The following is a 13,922-nucleotide window of genomic DNA, read 5'->3' on the forward strand; positions in this document are numbered from 1 at the left end:
TCAATCTCTGCTTTAAGAGGAGTCCAGGCTGGGCACAGTGGCTCACATCTGTAATCCCAGCACTTTGGGAGACCAAGGTGGAAGGATCGCTTGATGCCAGGGCAATATAGCGAGACCTCGTCTCTACAAAAAAATTAAAAACTAAAAAATTTTGCTGGGTGTGATGGCTCACGCCTGTAATCCCAGCACTTTGGAAGGCGGAGGTGGGTGGATCACCTGAGGTCCAGAGTTCAAGAACAGCCTGGCCAACATGGTGAAACCCCATCTCTACTAAAAATAGAAAAATTAGGCCAGGCACAGTGGCTCACGCCTGTAATCCCAGCACTTCAGGAGGCTGAGGAGGGTGGCTCACGAGGTCAGGAGTTCAAGACCAGCCTGGCCAAGATGGTGAAATCCCATCTCTACTAAAAATATAAAAAATTAGCTGGGCATGGTGGCCGGCATCTGTAATCCCAGCTACTCAGGAGGCTGAGGCAGAGAATTGCTTGAACCCAGGAGGCGGAGGTTGTAGTGAGCTGAGATCGCACCACTGCACTCCAGCCTGGGTGACAGGGCGAGACACCATCTCAAAAAAAATAAAATAAAATAATTAACCGGGTGTGGTGGCACGCACCTGTAATCCCAGCTACTTAGGAGGCTGAAGCAGGAGGATCACTTGAACCCAGGAGGTGGAGGCTGCAGTGAGCCAAGATCATGCCACTGCACTCCCGCCTTAAGAGACAGAGTGAGACTCCATCTCAAAAAACAAAAAAAGCCAGAAGCAATGGCTCATGCCTGTAATCCCAGCACTTTGGGAGGCCAAGGCAGGCAGATCACGAGGTCAGGAGATTGAGAACATCCTGGCTAACACGGTGAAACCCCATCTCTACTAAAAAGTACAAAAAATTAGCCGAGCATGGTGGCATGCGCCTATAATCCCAGCTACTCAGGAGGCTGAGGCAGGAGAATCGCTTGAACTCGGGAGGCGGAGGTTGTAGTGAGCTGAGATCGCACCACTGCACTCCAGCCTGGGCGACAGAGAGAGACTCCGTCTCAAAAAAAGAAAAAAATATTATTGGCTTCTCTTTGATGCTGTATAAAAGAAAAAAAAAATATATATATATAATATATATTTTTAAAAATTAATGGGTATGGTGGTACATACTTGTAGTCCCAGCTACTTGGGAGGCTGAGGTGGGAAAACCGCTTGGGCCCACGAAGTTGAGAGGCTACAGTAAGCTATGACTATGCTACTGCACTCCAGCCTCAGCAACAGAGCAAGCCTCTTTTTCTTTTTTTCTTTTTTTTAGGGGGAAAAAAAAAAAAAGGAGTCCAAAGATATTATTTCAAATTTTTCAGAATAACATGTTAGGGACCTGACATTGCCCAAAGACAATCAAATATTTCATTCCTTCAGTATCATTATTAATTCAGAGTCATACATATTTTGCTTGTATCAATCTTTTTTGATGCTCAAATTGTCCCATCTTTGGCCAGCAAAACGGCTTCTTCATGTTAGCTCCTTCATCTTTTGATGTGACTCCAATAATATTTGTGAGCATTTCTGCTTTCTGTTATGACGTGATATTCTAGGTTTAGCTTGTATGTTTCTTGCCCCCATCTATAATCAGCCTTATCAGCATGGATCCTTGATCCCTTTTAGTCAGAAAAAGTACAGAGAGACTACAATCTGGTCACTAGAGGCACTCATTAGATTGGTTATTGCTTCCAAGCCAGAGCTAGAAAATACACTTGGAAAGAAAATAAACCATGGGTTCATACTGATTATTTCCAACTCAGATTTTGGATGACTGGAATTTCACAGAAAGTCTCTTATATTTGCATATTTTCTTCCACTAAAAAATCTGACAAAAGATAGAAATAAGAACCCAAAAAAGTGCTTTATGTTTATTTTCTCATTTAACCCTCAGAGTTGGCATTTTACAGATTAGGAAACAAAGGCAGAAGTAATTTAATTTGTCTGAATACACACACAGCTACTGTGTGGCAGGGTCAGCATATGTATTTGAGCATTCTGGCCACAGATTCTATCCTCCTAACCATACTCTAGTCGGTCTTACTGATTTCACTTATAATCCAACCAACAGCATAACCATACCAAATAACTTCACAAAAAAGTATAGATTGCACATGAAATTCAAAAGATAAAAATATATGCTAATCCTAAGCAATATTTTCCCTTTACACCTTAGCTTTAAACCACAATAACTTACATATGGCGACTCAATATTGAAATTAAGTGGACAAGCTTACATATTAATACCAAGAAAGAAGGAAGAGAGGAAAGGCAACTATGAGGAAAACACAACTACTCAGTTGTCTCAAGCATTACAAAGATTATATACATAGGCACCTCAGGTACTTCTGAAGCTAGTCATATCAAGTCAAGTCCCAATGCAAGACACAAAACTGTATTAGACCTGCAACCTTTCATCCAAATTACCTGTAAGTCCTGGATGCACCTTTAACTTATTCCTCTGGAAAAGGCTCTGTCTCAGCCCCTTCCTTCTACCAATGCTTACATACAAATCAAGTGGGAATCACTGCTTCCCTGCTTTATAAGACAGATACTGACATAATGCTGCTAACACCAGCTGATGACAGAAGGAGAAAACCAAGTCTAACTTGTAACATGTTCTTCTTTGCCTCTTTTTTTTTTTTTTTTTGAGATGGAATCTCGCTGTCACCCAGGCTGGAGTGCAGTGGCACGATCTCGGCTCACTGCAACCTCCACCTCCCGGGTTCAAGCGATTCTCCTGCCTCAGCTTCCTCAGTAGCTGGGATTACAGGCGCGCGCCACCATGCCCAGTTAATTTTTTGTATTTTTAGTAGAGACGGGGTTTCACCATGCTGGCCAGGCTGGTCTCGAACTCCTGACCTCGTGATCCGCCCGCCTCGGCGGGATTACAGGCAGGAGCCACCGCGCCCAGCTGCCTTATTTCTTATGCAAAAAAACTGGAACACAAGGTTCGGATTTGGACTGGTATTTTCAAGTAAAAAGCCAAGCCTTATGGCTCAAAGCAGTCTAGCATGGGCTTTCCAACCCGCCACTTGGTGGCACTCTGTACCGGCTGCAAATTTTCATTCCAGCTGTGCCGAACTAAACCTATGTCCAAAGAGGACTTCATTCAGCCTGGCTAATTTCAATATGGCTATACTGTAATTACACCTATTCTTTCTTGGTTTATACAGTTAAGAATCAGCTCTTTAAAAGGTCAACCTCAATTTTCAAGAAGTTTAATACTGTACTCCAAGCAAATACTTGGGAAAATGATCAGTCTTACATTCCTGGTCTATATGTCAACTGGCATAACTCTGCCTCATTGCTGACTTGGCAGTGTCTTATCCTCTAACTCAAGAATTATCTTTCTTACATCATTTCCTTAGGTAAAGTTGTAACACGCTCAAAGGCTTAGCTGTCTGTAAATAGGGAGAACTAGGAAGAACTTAGAGGTCCAGGAAAAAGGGATTCAATTACAATACACAGAATGAAATCTCATGGAGATATTATAAATATGAAAGAATATTTAATGAAGACATGCGCTTATGACACTGTTCACTGAAAAAAGTGCATCACTAAAAGAGAACATGGAATATGATCTCATTTTAAAATACGTGGTTTTATCACAAAAAGAACATTCCAACCAGGAACAAAATGTACATATCTGTACATACACACATACACATGAACATTAACAGAAGTAAGGAAGAGAGAGCATTACGATACTGACCGTGATGAGCACTGGCTGGTAGAATCATCTGCAGTTTTCCATTTCTTCTAGCTTTTGTGTTTTATAAAATGAACTTTACTAGTTGTTGAGGGAAAAATAAGCTATTGTTTCTAGCCAGCAGCATAATATCAGAATGAACCAAGAGGAAAACAATTCTAGATTCTAACAGTTCTAACTAGTTCTGTGACATCAGTTCTCCATCCCCCTATAAAATTCCTATAGATTTTATAGTTTAGCAGAAGAAACTAGATACTTTAGGTCAGTCTTAAATAAGTATCTGTAAAAGTGGAAAGGAGGAAACATAACTTAGGAGTAACACAGGTAGACCCAGGTCAAAAATCCCTATGAAAGATGGCATTGCATCTAGTGGATTAACAGAGGGTCACAGGTACACTAAAGAAAAGCATACTTCCTGCAACAGTTAAAAAGAATGCCAGATTCTAGTGAACTGAACAGGAGGAAGGAAGGGGGAAAAAAAAAAGATTACAAGGTCCCCTACACCGTAAAATAAAGAGATGTCCTTCAATTATGGTCCGAGAACCACCTATGTTAGAATCACCACAAGGGACTAACTAAAATGCAGATTCCAGGGCCCCAAAACAGACTTAAATCGTAATTTCTGGGGGTGGGGCAGGGGAACTTGGCCCCTCCCCCGCCAACCCACACACACACATTCTCTCTCTCTCTTATGGATTGGTGGCCACTGTGGTATAGTTAACAGGGCGAGTCTCAAAGGCAAAATTACTTGTTTTATTCACTGTTGCACATTCCACTGGTTAACAGATTGCTTAGCTCATCTCAGGCAATTATTCAATATTACTTAAACAATGAGCAAGGGAACAAAGTCTCTTTACATCACAGTTCTAAGTGAGAATCTAAACATGGTTTTTTCCATTATCCCCAGCTCCCAGATCTCCATGGTAACAGCTATGTTTTAGTCCCGTTAACTAAAACAGAGGTATATTTTATCTTTTACATTTGCACACGTTATCTCCATCTATGTAGAACAGAGTCTGACAGCCAGACGTGCATGGATGAAAACTTGACTGACGCCATGAGTATGCACTAGAAGAGTCCAAAAAAGACTGAATGTTTTTCTACGTACTCTCTTACTACTATTGTTTGCTTGCATTTACACACTGCTATGTCTTTCTTTTAGAAGATTAAATGTTCCTTGAAGAAACATAGTCAAAGTTTTTATACTTCCTTAGGACATGTGCAAGTTAGGAAAACCTAACACTGTTCGAAAGACAATTGATACAGGCACACATCATCACACTGGGCCTTTGTTTTACTTCTTAATGTGACTACTAGAAGGGCACGCACATCTTAATGTAGAATGTCAAACAGGAAAAAAACAAACAAACAAAAAAAACAGGGCACAAACTAATCCTTGATCCCTAAATAACCAAAGATTTTTATAGTCTTCATACTGAGATTTTAACTAAGTAAATGTGCTTCATTTTTTAATTTTTTTTTTTTTTTGGTGGAGAGAGGGTCTTGCTCTGTTGCTCAGACTGGAGTGCAAACGGCATGATCTCTGCCCATTGCAGCCTCAACCTCCGAGGTTCATGAGATCCTCCTGCCTCAGCCCCTCAAGTAGCTGGGACTACAGGCATGCGCTACCGCACCCAGCTAATTTTTGTATTTTTCATAAGCTGTGGTTTCACCACGTTGCCCAGACTGGTCCTGGGCTCAAGCAATCCACTTGCCTCGGCCTACCAAACTGCTAGGATTACAGGCATGAGCCACTGCGCCCAGCCTGTATATGTGCCTTTAAACTAAAAAGTCACCACCAGTATTACAACCACAGAAACACACGCAGTTGAACAGTTACTATTTAAATAAAAGCCTCACTGCCTGTATGACCTAAAAGCATAGCTCTTTCAAAAGTCTTAATATTAACACAATATAGTAAATTGTACTTATCTTCCTAAAAAATTAGAGTGGTAAGAAAGGAATAAAGAACTTGGATATAAAACCTCTAACATGCTTGAGTAGCACTGAAAATTAATTATTCCCATACTTTTCCATAGCTAAAACTAGTTTTATAAATATCATTATATTTTTTTCCCAGCAACAAGATATTTTTAAACAGTGATTTTTAGAAACCGTACATCTTAAGCTGCTCTGTCCAATAAAGAAGCCACTAGCCACATGTGTCTAACTACTTGAAATGTGGCTAGTCTGAATTGAATCGTTCTGTAAGGATAAAATACATACAGATGTTGAAGATTCAATACCAAAAAAAGCAAAATTTCTCAACAATTTATTATACTGTTACATTTTAGATATATTAGGTTGTATATAATAACTAATTTTTTTTTTTTTTTTGAGACAGGGTTTTTGCTCTCTCGCCCAAACTGTAGTGGCACGACCATAGCTCACTGCAGCCTCAACCTCTTGGGCTCAAGCAATTCTCCCACCTCAGCCTCCCAGTCAGCTAGGATACAGGCACACATCACCACACTGGGCCTTTGTTTTACTTAATGTGGCTACTAAAAAGTTAAAATCATATATATTTAGTTCATGTATTTCTATTGAACAGAGCTTATCTAAAACTAATTGATTAAATTTAATTTGTTTGTCAAGGGAATTTGAAGAACAATCAAGAAAAAGTTTTAGGCCGGGCACAGTGGCTTATGCCTATAAACCCAGCACTTTGGGAGGCCGAGGCGGGAGGATCATCTGAGATCAAGAGTTCAAGACCAGTCTGGCCAACATGGCGAAAGCCCATCTCTGCTAAAAATACAAAAATTAGCCGGGCATCACGGAGGCGTGTGCCTGTAATCCCAGCTACTTGGGAGGCTGGGGCAAGAGAATCGCTTAAACCTGGAAGGCAGAGGTTACAGTGAGACAAGATTGTGCCACTGCACTCCAGCCTGGGAGACAGAGTGAGACTCTGTCTGGAAAAATTAAAATTAAAAAAAAAAAAAAAAAGAAAAAGTTTTATATGGAATACGTATTTTCCACATAAAAGTAACCATCACTAAAACTGTACCTGCAAGAAGAGGTGTTTTAAGATTACTAAACTTTTAAAACCACTGTATTTTGAATACGGGGTATGTCTACATTAACAGTTTTTATTTCGTATTACTGCTAAGTGGATGTGGTTCTTAGACAAGGCAGATCCTTGGGTTTGTTTTTGTTCGTGGGAAAGTTGCAGTTGATCATTATCAAATTATACCACCTTCTCATCAACTTTAGAAACTATAATAATCTCACCACCCCAAAGCTTGAAGACTGTTTCCCAGAGGTAGACTTACACAGCCAGACTTGTTTATATTTCCATTTTTAATGTTTTCTACAAGTAGGCAAAGAAAATAAGCAAATAATTGTGTTCAAGAAACTCAGTATGAGAATTCTCAGTTTCACGCACTCTGAGAACTCCAATGTATCAACAAAACAAAAGGTTGACAAGTTTGATCTAAATATTTCTGCCTGACATTCCTCATCCTAGGTAACTCAACTCTTTCTTTTCTCCCAAGATATAATTTCACTAGGCTTTGTAGATAACCCTTCTCCTAGCAGAAAACACAATGCAAATGCAATGCTACGTTACCAGTCTCCAATAGCAGCAAATTGTTCCTGATTACTAAGCTCTTTTTCCTTCTAGTGAGATAGAACAGGTATGTTTACCACACTTAAGGACAAACAAGTTAAAAAAAAACTTTCACTTAAGTGCAACATGCTTCCCCAACTACATCAGTATTTTCCCAAATTTGAACTCAGTCACATTAATCCATCATTTCCTTGAATGAATAAAACCTTGGCCAAAGTATTAAAATTTTCCCTTTTCTCACCTATGACATATTTGCCAATTAAACACAAAAATCCTGAAAATGGGCCAGGCGTGGTGGCTCCTGCCTGTAATCCTAGCACTTTGAGAGGCCGAGGCAGGTGGATCACGAGGTCAGGAGATGAGACCATCCTGGCTAACATGGTGAAACCCCATCTCTACTAAAAGTACAAAAATTAGCCAGGTGTGGTGGCGGGTACGTGTAGTCCCAGCTACTCAGGAGGCTGAGGCAGGAGAATCGCTTGAACCCGGGAGGCGGAGGTTGCAGTGAACAAAGATCGCACCATTGCACTCCAGCCCAGGCGACAGAGCAAGACTCTGTCTCAAAAAAAAAAAAAAAAAAAAAAAAAAAAATCCTGAAAATGATGAAGTCTCTAGCCCTATCATGTCTTCTGAGAACAGAATTACATATAAAAATACACCACAGAAACACTGTCAGCAACATCCAGACCTGGGAAACTCTCCAGCACAAACATCTAAAGTTTTTTTTTTTTTCTTTTCTTTGAGACGGAGTCTCGCTCTGTCGCCCAGGCTGGAGTGCAGGGGCATGATCTCACAGCTCACCACAACCTCCGCCTCCTGGGTTCAAGCGATTCTCCTGCTTCAGCCTCCCGAGTAGCTGGGATTACAGGCGCCCACCACCACGCCCGGCTAATTTTTTTGTATTTTTAGTAAAGATGAGGTTTCACCATGTTGGCCAGGATGGTCTCGATCTCCTGACCTCATGATCCACCCACCTCGGCCTCCCAAAGTGCTGGGATTACAGGCGTGAGCCACTGTGCCTGGCCTTTTTGTCTTTGTTTGTTTTTTGAGACAGTCTCGCTCTGCAGCCCAGGCTGGAGGGCAGTGGTGCAATCTCAGGTCACTGCAACCTCCACTTCCCAGGTTCAAGTGATTCTTGTGCCTCAGCCTCCTGAGTCATTGGAATTACAGGCGTGTGCCACCATGCCTGGCTAATACTGTATTTTTAGTAGAGACGGGGTTTTACCATGTTGGCCAGGCTGGTCTGGAATTCCTGACCGCAAGTGATCCACCTGCCTCGGCCTCCCAAAGTACTGGGAGAACAGGCATGAGCCACATGCCCGGCCAACATCTAAATTTTTTAACAAATAAATTTCAAAGTGAAAAAAGGAGGAGGGAATCCTTGACATTAAGTAAAACAAACTTAAGACCTATTAACCAATCATAATGGAAGAAACTTATTTAAATCCCAATTCAAATACAATGGAAAAAACTAATCAGGAAAATTGGAATATTTAATACCAGTGAGTTAGTGTCATGTTTTTTAATATGTAATGATAATGTCTATGCTTTTTAAAAGTCTGTCTTTTAGAGATACATGCTGAAGAATTAGGAATGTAAAAAGCTTGCTGTCTTCAATTTGTTTTGAAATAATTTGGGGAGGTGTGGCATTGAGGCACAGAGATGAATCAAAGCCAGTCATCATTTGGTGATTCTTGAAGCTAGGTGATCAGTATAGGAGGATTTATTATACCATTATCTCCTCTGTGGTACTTTTAAAATTTCCACTGTTTTTCCCTACTCTCTTAAATCTAGAAGTCACCATCGACACAAATGTTAAATTCCATTAAAATCAAACTCTGGGCTTGTTAGTACCCAGAAGAAGGAATTTTTAAGAGAAAAATATAATTTAACTTTACATGACTATCTGGTAGTAAAGAGATGTTAAATACTTTCCATGCACATAACCTGAGATGATATTAGTATTTCCTATACCACAAAAAAACTAGAATTTTCTAAGATTGTTACATTAGACAGTGTTAGATGTCCTTCCTTTGCCTAGGAAAGTACATTTGGATTTATTTTGCTGCAGTAACTATAGTATAACTTCAAATATAGGATATTGGCTGGGCCCGGTGGCTCACACCTGTAATCCTAGCACTTTGGGAGGCCAAGGCGGGTGGATTACCTGAGGTCAGCAGTTCAAGACCAGCCTGGCCAACTGGGTGAAACCCTGTCTCTACTAAAAATACAAAAATTAGCCAGGCATGGTGGTGGTGTGCGCCTGTAGTCCCAGCTATTTAGGAAGCTGAGGCAGGAGAATTGCTTGAACCCTGGAGGCAGATGCTGCAGTGAGCTGAGATCGTGCGACTGCACTCCAGCCTGGGCGATAGAGTCAGACCCTGTCTCAAAAAAAACAAAACAAAAAAGCAAATATAGGATACTTTTTAAACTTTGTTCTATAACTTAATGTATATTAATAAAATTATCGGCCAGGCATGGTGGCTCATGCCTGTAATCTCAGCACTTTGGGAGGCTGAGGTGGGTGGATCACCTAAGGTCAGCAGTTCAAGACCAGTCTGGCCCACATGGTGAAACCCCCATCTCTACTAAAAACACCAAAAGTAGCCAGGCATGGTGGCAGGCACCTGTAATCCCAGCTACTTAGGGGGCTGAGGCAGGAGAATCGCTTAAACCCAGGAGGCGGAGGTTGCAGTGAGCCGAGATGGCACCATTGCATTCCAGCCTGGGGGACAAGAGCGAGACTTCATTTCAAAAATAAATAAATAAATAAATAAATAAATAAATAAATAAAACAATCTGGACTGTCCACTTAAATGAAATCCTTTGTTACATTAAGACAATTCTGCACAATTCATATTTATGCCAATTCTGATAGAAGCAAAAAAGCTGCTGTACATGAAAAGTTACATCTTCTAGCCAGCAAAACAAAGTCATTAACATATAGGAAGCTTAATCATTTCCAGATTATTTCTGCCACAACTGCAATTTAACAACAAACTTTAAGATTTCACCAATATTGAGAACAAAAGTAAAAAACTATTCAGTGACTCCTTATGGGTAAAGCCATACCAAGTACTTGAAATACATTTCCACTGTACCCTTACACCAAACAAGTGAGGTCAATTTAAGACTCCCATTTTACAGATTAAGGAAACAGCCTCAAAGGATTATTTTAACCAAAGTCAAAACGCAAGTCAACGAAAAGCCAAATTCAAACTCATACCTCCCAATGTCCATGCTACGTCTACCTTTATCTTAGATGAATACTATTTGGCTTCTGTGTAAATAAAACTCACTTACACAGATATTCAGGAAAATTGTTCAATATAATAACAACATGAATCCCAATCTCCTGGAGGAAACACTAGAAATTATCGAACTTACTTTCAAATTTTAATTTTTTTGAGACGGAGTCTCACTCTGTTGCCCAGGCTGAAGTGCAGTGCCACGATCTCGGCTCACTGCAACCTCCACCTCCCAGGTTCAAGTAATTCTCCTGTCTCAGTCTCCCAAGAGATTACAGGCACCCACCACCATGCCTGGCTAATTTTTGTATTTTTCGTAAAGACGAGGTTTCTCCATGTTAGCCAGGCTGGTCTTGAATTCCTGAGCTTAAGTAATCTGCCCCCCTTGGCATTCCCAAAGTGCTGGAATTACAGGCATGAACCACCAAGCCACTACACTGGGCCACATACAAATTTTATAAAGAAGACTCAAGGTCACATCAACATAGATCATTTCAAGGCAAATATCCAACCTCAGTCACCATCTAAGGTAAATGAGACAAATAAGTACACTAACTGACAAAAGATCCAATGCATATGATGTTTCAAGAAGTTCCCTTTGACCAGCCTGGGCAACACAGTGAGACCGACTCTATTTTTAAAAAATTTTTTAATTCCTTTCTACTGGGAAGTCATTTCAAGGACCCCACACGCTTATAATGGTTGTTAGGCTGATAAAATAATCTTTAAAAATTTAGTTAAATAAATTTAGTTATAATAACCCTAGTTGTGGTCCTTTAAAACTTCAGTAACTATGTCACACTTCCAGTTAAATTACTTTCTCAGAAAAGATGACAGATTTCCAGTAGCAATAATGTAAAATCTACTTAATAAACTCATAAGACTGAGATGCTAAAAAAAATTTAACGATTCTACTTTCCACCATTATAGTTGTTAAAAATGTTACATATTTTTCAATTTCAATTTAAAAAGTTACATGTTTATAGGCCAGGCATGGTGGCTGACACCTGTAATCCTAACATTTTGGGAGGCTGAAGTAGAATCACTTCAGTCCAGGAGCTAAAGACCAGCCTGGGCAACGAAGTGAGACCTCATCTCAACAAAAATTTTTAAAACTAGCTGGGCACAGTGACATGTACCTGTAAGCCCTAGCTACTCGAAGGCTGAGGCAAAAGAATCCCTTAAGCCCAGGAGTTTGAGGCTGCAATGAGCTATGATACCACCATTGCACTCCGGGCTGGGGACAGAGACCTTGCCTCAAAATAAAAAATAAAATAAAAAGTGACATGTTTGGCCGGGCACGGTGGCTCACGCCTGTAATCCCAGCACTTTGGGACGCCGAGGTGGGCAGATCATGAAGTCAGGAGATCTCAAGACCATCCTGGCTAACACGGTGAAACCCCACCTACTAAAAATACAAAAAAAAAAAAATTAGCCGGGTGTGGTGGCGGGCGCCTGTAGTCCCAGCTACTTGGGAGGCTGAGGCAGGAGAATGGCGTGAGTAGGGGGCGGAGCTTGCAGTGAGCCAAGATCGTGCCACTGCACTCCAGCCTGGGAGACAACGAGACTCCGTCTCAAAAAAAAAAAAAAAAAAAAAAAGACATGTTTAAACTCTGTCCCTTATGATAATGTAGGTTGTGATATCATGCTTATAATCAGTGTGATTACACAACACACACTACCCCTATGAGTTTAACACGTAACCAACCAATCTCACAGAGGATACAAGTCTCTCAAAGGAAGAAAAACTCTTGGTCTCCTTTCCAGTGTTGATATAATTGGTCAAAACATTTAACATAAACAAAGAAACTGAGGTGGGTGGGAGCACCAAGCACCAAAGATAGAAACAAATGGCTCTCACCTTTGCATAGTACTCACACTCAACAGTACCTAGAGCACATCTACCTGCCCTCGGGCTTTCTCTGTAACAGAACCACAAAAATTTACAATGGCCCTTTCCTCTCTGCCAAACCTTCTATCTCTTTTTTGAAAGCTTTACAATTAGTTGAGGGAGGTGGCTCACACCTGTAATCACAGCACTTTGGGAGGCCGAGGTGGGCAGATCACGAGGTCAGGAGATCGAGACCATCCTGGCTAATACGGTGAAACCCCGTCTCTACTAAAAATACAAAAAATTAGCTGGGTGTGGTGGCACGCGCCTGCAGTCCCAGCTACTCGGGAGGCTGAGGCAGGAGAATCACTGGAACCCAGGAGGCAGAGGTTGCAGTGAGCCAAGATCGTGCCACTGCACTCCAGCCTGGACAACAGAGCAGAAATTGTTTAGTTATTTCAAAAAAAAAAAAAAAAATTAGCTGGGCATGGTGGCACGTGCCCTTAATCCCAGTTACTGCAGAGGCCAAGACAGGAGAATCACTTCAACCCAGGAGGCAGAGGTTGCAGTGAGCCGAGATCGTGCCACTGCACTCCAGCCTGGGCAACAGAGAGAGACTCTGTTTCAAAACAAAGCTTTATAATTTGAAAAATCATCATAAACTAAATCTGTTATTAACAATCTGTATAGGGTATTACACTTTAGTGGGATGGGCCTTAACACCTTGTAAAAATGTTGAAATCAGTGTTTTGGAAATGCGTAAGCTTTAAGAATGTGTTACACAGCCAAGTACTTTAACAACTGCCTGAAACAGACTAGTAGAATCAAGTGCAAACATAAGCTATCCCGACATACTGTCTATTGGGGGAGCGGCACACCAGGACTCCAACAACCCCTAACCACCAGCCACCTGTCCACATATCAGGTCATTTTTATTTTTACGCAGGCTCTACTAGGGCTATAGAAGGACCTAAGTCAAAGTTTTAGCTTTTTTCTAAGAGGTCCCACATCATATACATAAACAAATTTAAGCCTACTCTACTGACGATTAAACCTTGAACATAAGAATACAATATCAGTTGCAAGCATTTGGGATTCTGAATCCCTTCTCTATAGATTTATCTATCAGACATCATTTAAATAGTTATTTACCCCTATGTTTACAACTTTAGGTATCCTGGGACTTGGGAAGGCTTTACACACATAAATAACTTAAAAATTAGTTGCAGAATCCTACAAGCAGAAAAGAATAGCAAATAATATACTTGAAGTATTTTTTGGTCTACCATTTCAAGAGCCTATATATTCAGAGTCATGACAGTTATGAGACTGAATAAATAGCATCAAAACCACCAGATCTGATTTACTTCTAACAAGACACACATCTTAAGGTGGAAGGATCGCTTGAGGCCAGGAGTTCAAGACCAGCCTGGGCAATATAGTGAGATCACATCTCTGCAAAAAATAAAGACACATATGTTAAGACCAGGCACGGTGGTTCACACCTGTAATCCCAGCACTTTGGGAGGCCGAGGTGGACGGATCATGAG

General features: G+C 40.8%; 1 protein-coding gene across 7 annotated transcripts in view, besides 1 other annotated feature; it reads right to left on the minus strand.

The window, feature by feature from the left end:
* IGF2BP3 (insulin like growth factor 2 mRNA binding protein 3) overlaps nucleotides 1-13,922 on the minus strand; it is a 160,283-nt gene that overhangs the window by 117,229 nt on the left and 29,132 nt on the right. The window contains exon 1 of one of the 7 annotated variants that reach the window (XM_011515090.4): nucleotides 3,732-3,866. The exons of 5 other annotated variants lie outside the window; for them this stretch is intronic. In XM_011515090.4, the coding sequence (XP_011513392.1) occupies nucleotides 3,732-3,759 (28 nt within the window). In that variant the 5' untranslated portion in view covers nucleotides 3,760-3,866. Of the gene's footprint in view, nucleotides 1-3,731; nucleotides 3,867-13,922 lie in introns of those variants that run through there. One more of the 7 variants, XM_011515093.3, reaches the window with a different exon arrangement.
* Nucleotides 7,879-8,380: an enhancer, noted in NCBI's record as "H3K27ac hESC enhancer chr7:23474935-23475436 (GRCh37/hg19 assembly coordinates)". NCBI's record gives its function as "activates a minimal SCP1, AML or CMV promoter by ChIP-STARR-seq in naive H9 embryonic stem cells {active_cell/tissue: H9 hESC(naive)}" and the evidence as "EXISTENCE:reporter gene assay evidence [ECO:0000049][PMID:30033119]".

This window comes from Homo sapiens, chromosome 7 (assembly GCF_000001405.40).
Source record: "Homo sapiens chromosome 7, GRCh38.p14 Primary Assembly".
NCBI classification, from domain to species: Eukaryota; Metazoa; Chordata; class Mammalia; order Primates; family Hominidae; genus Homo; species Homo sapiens.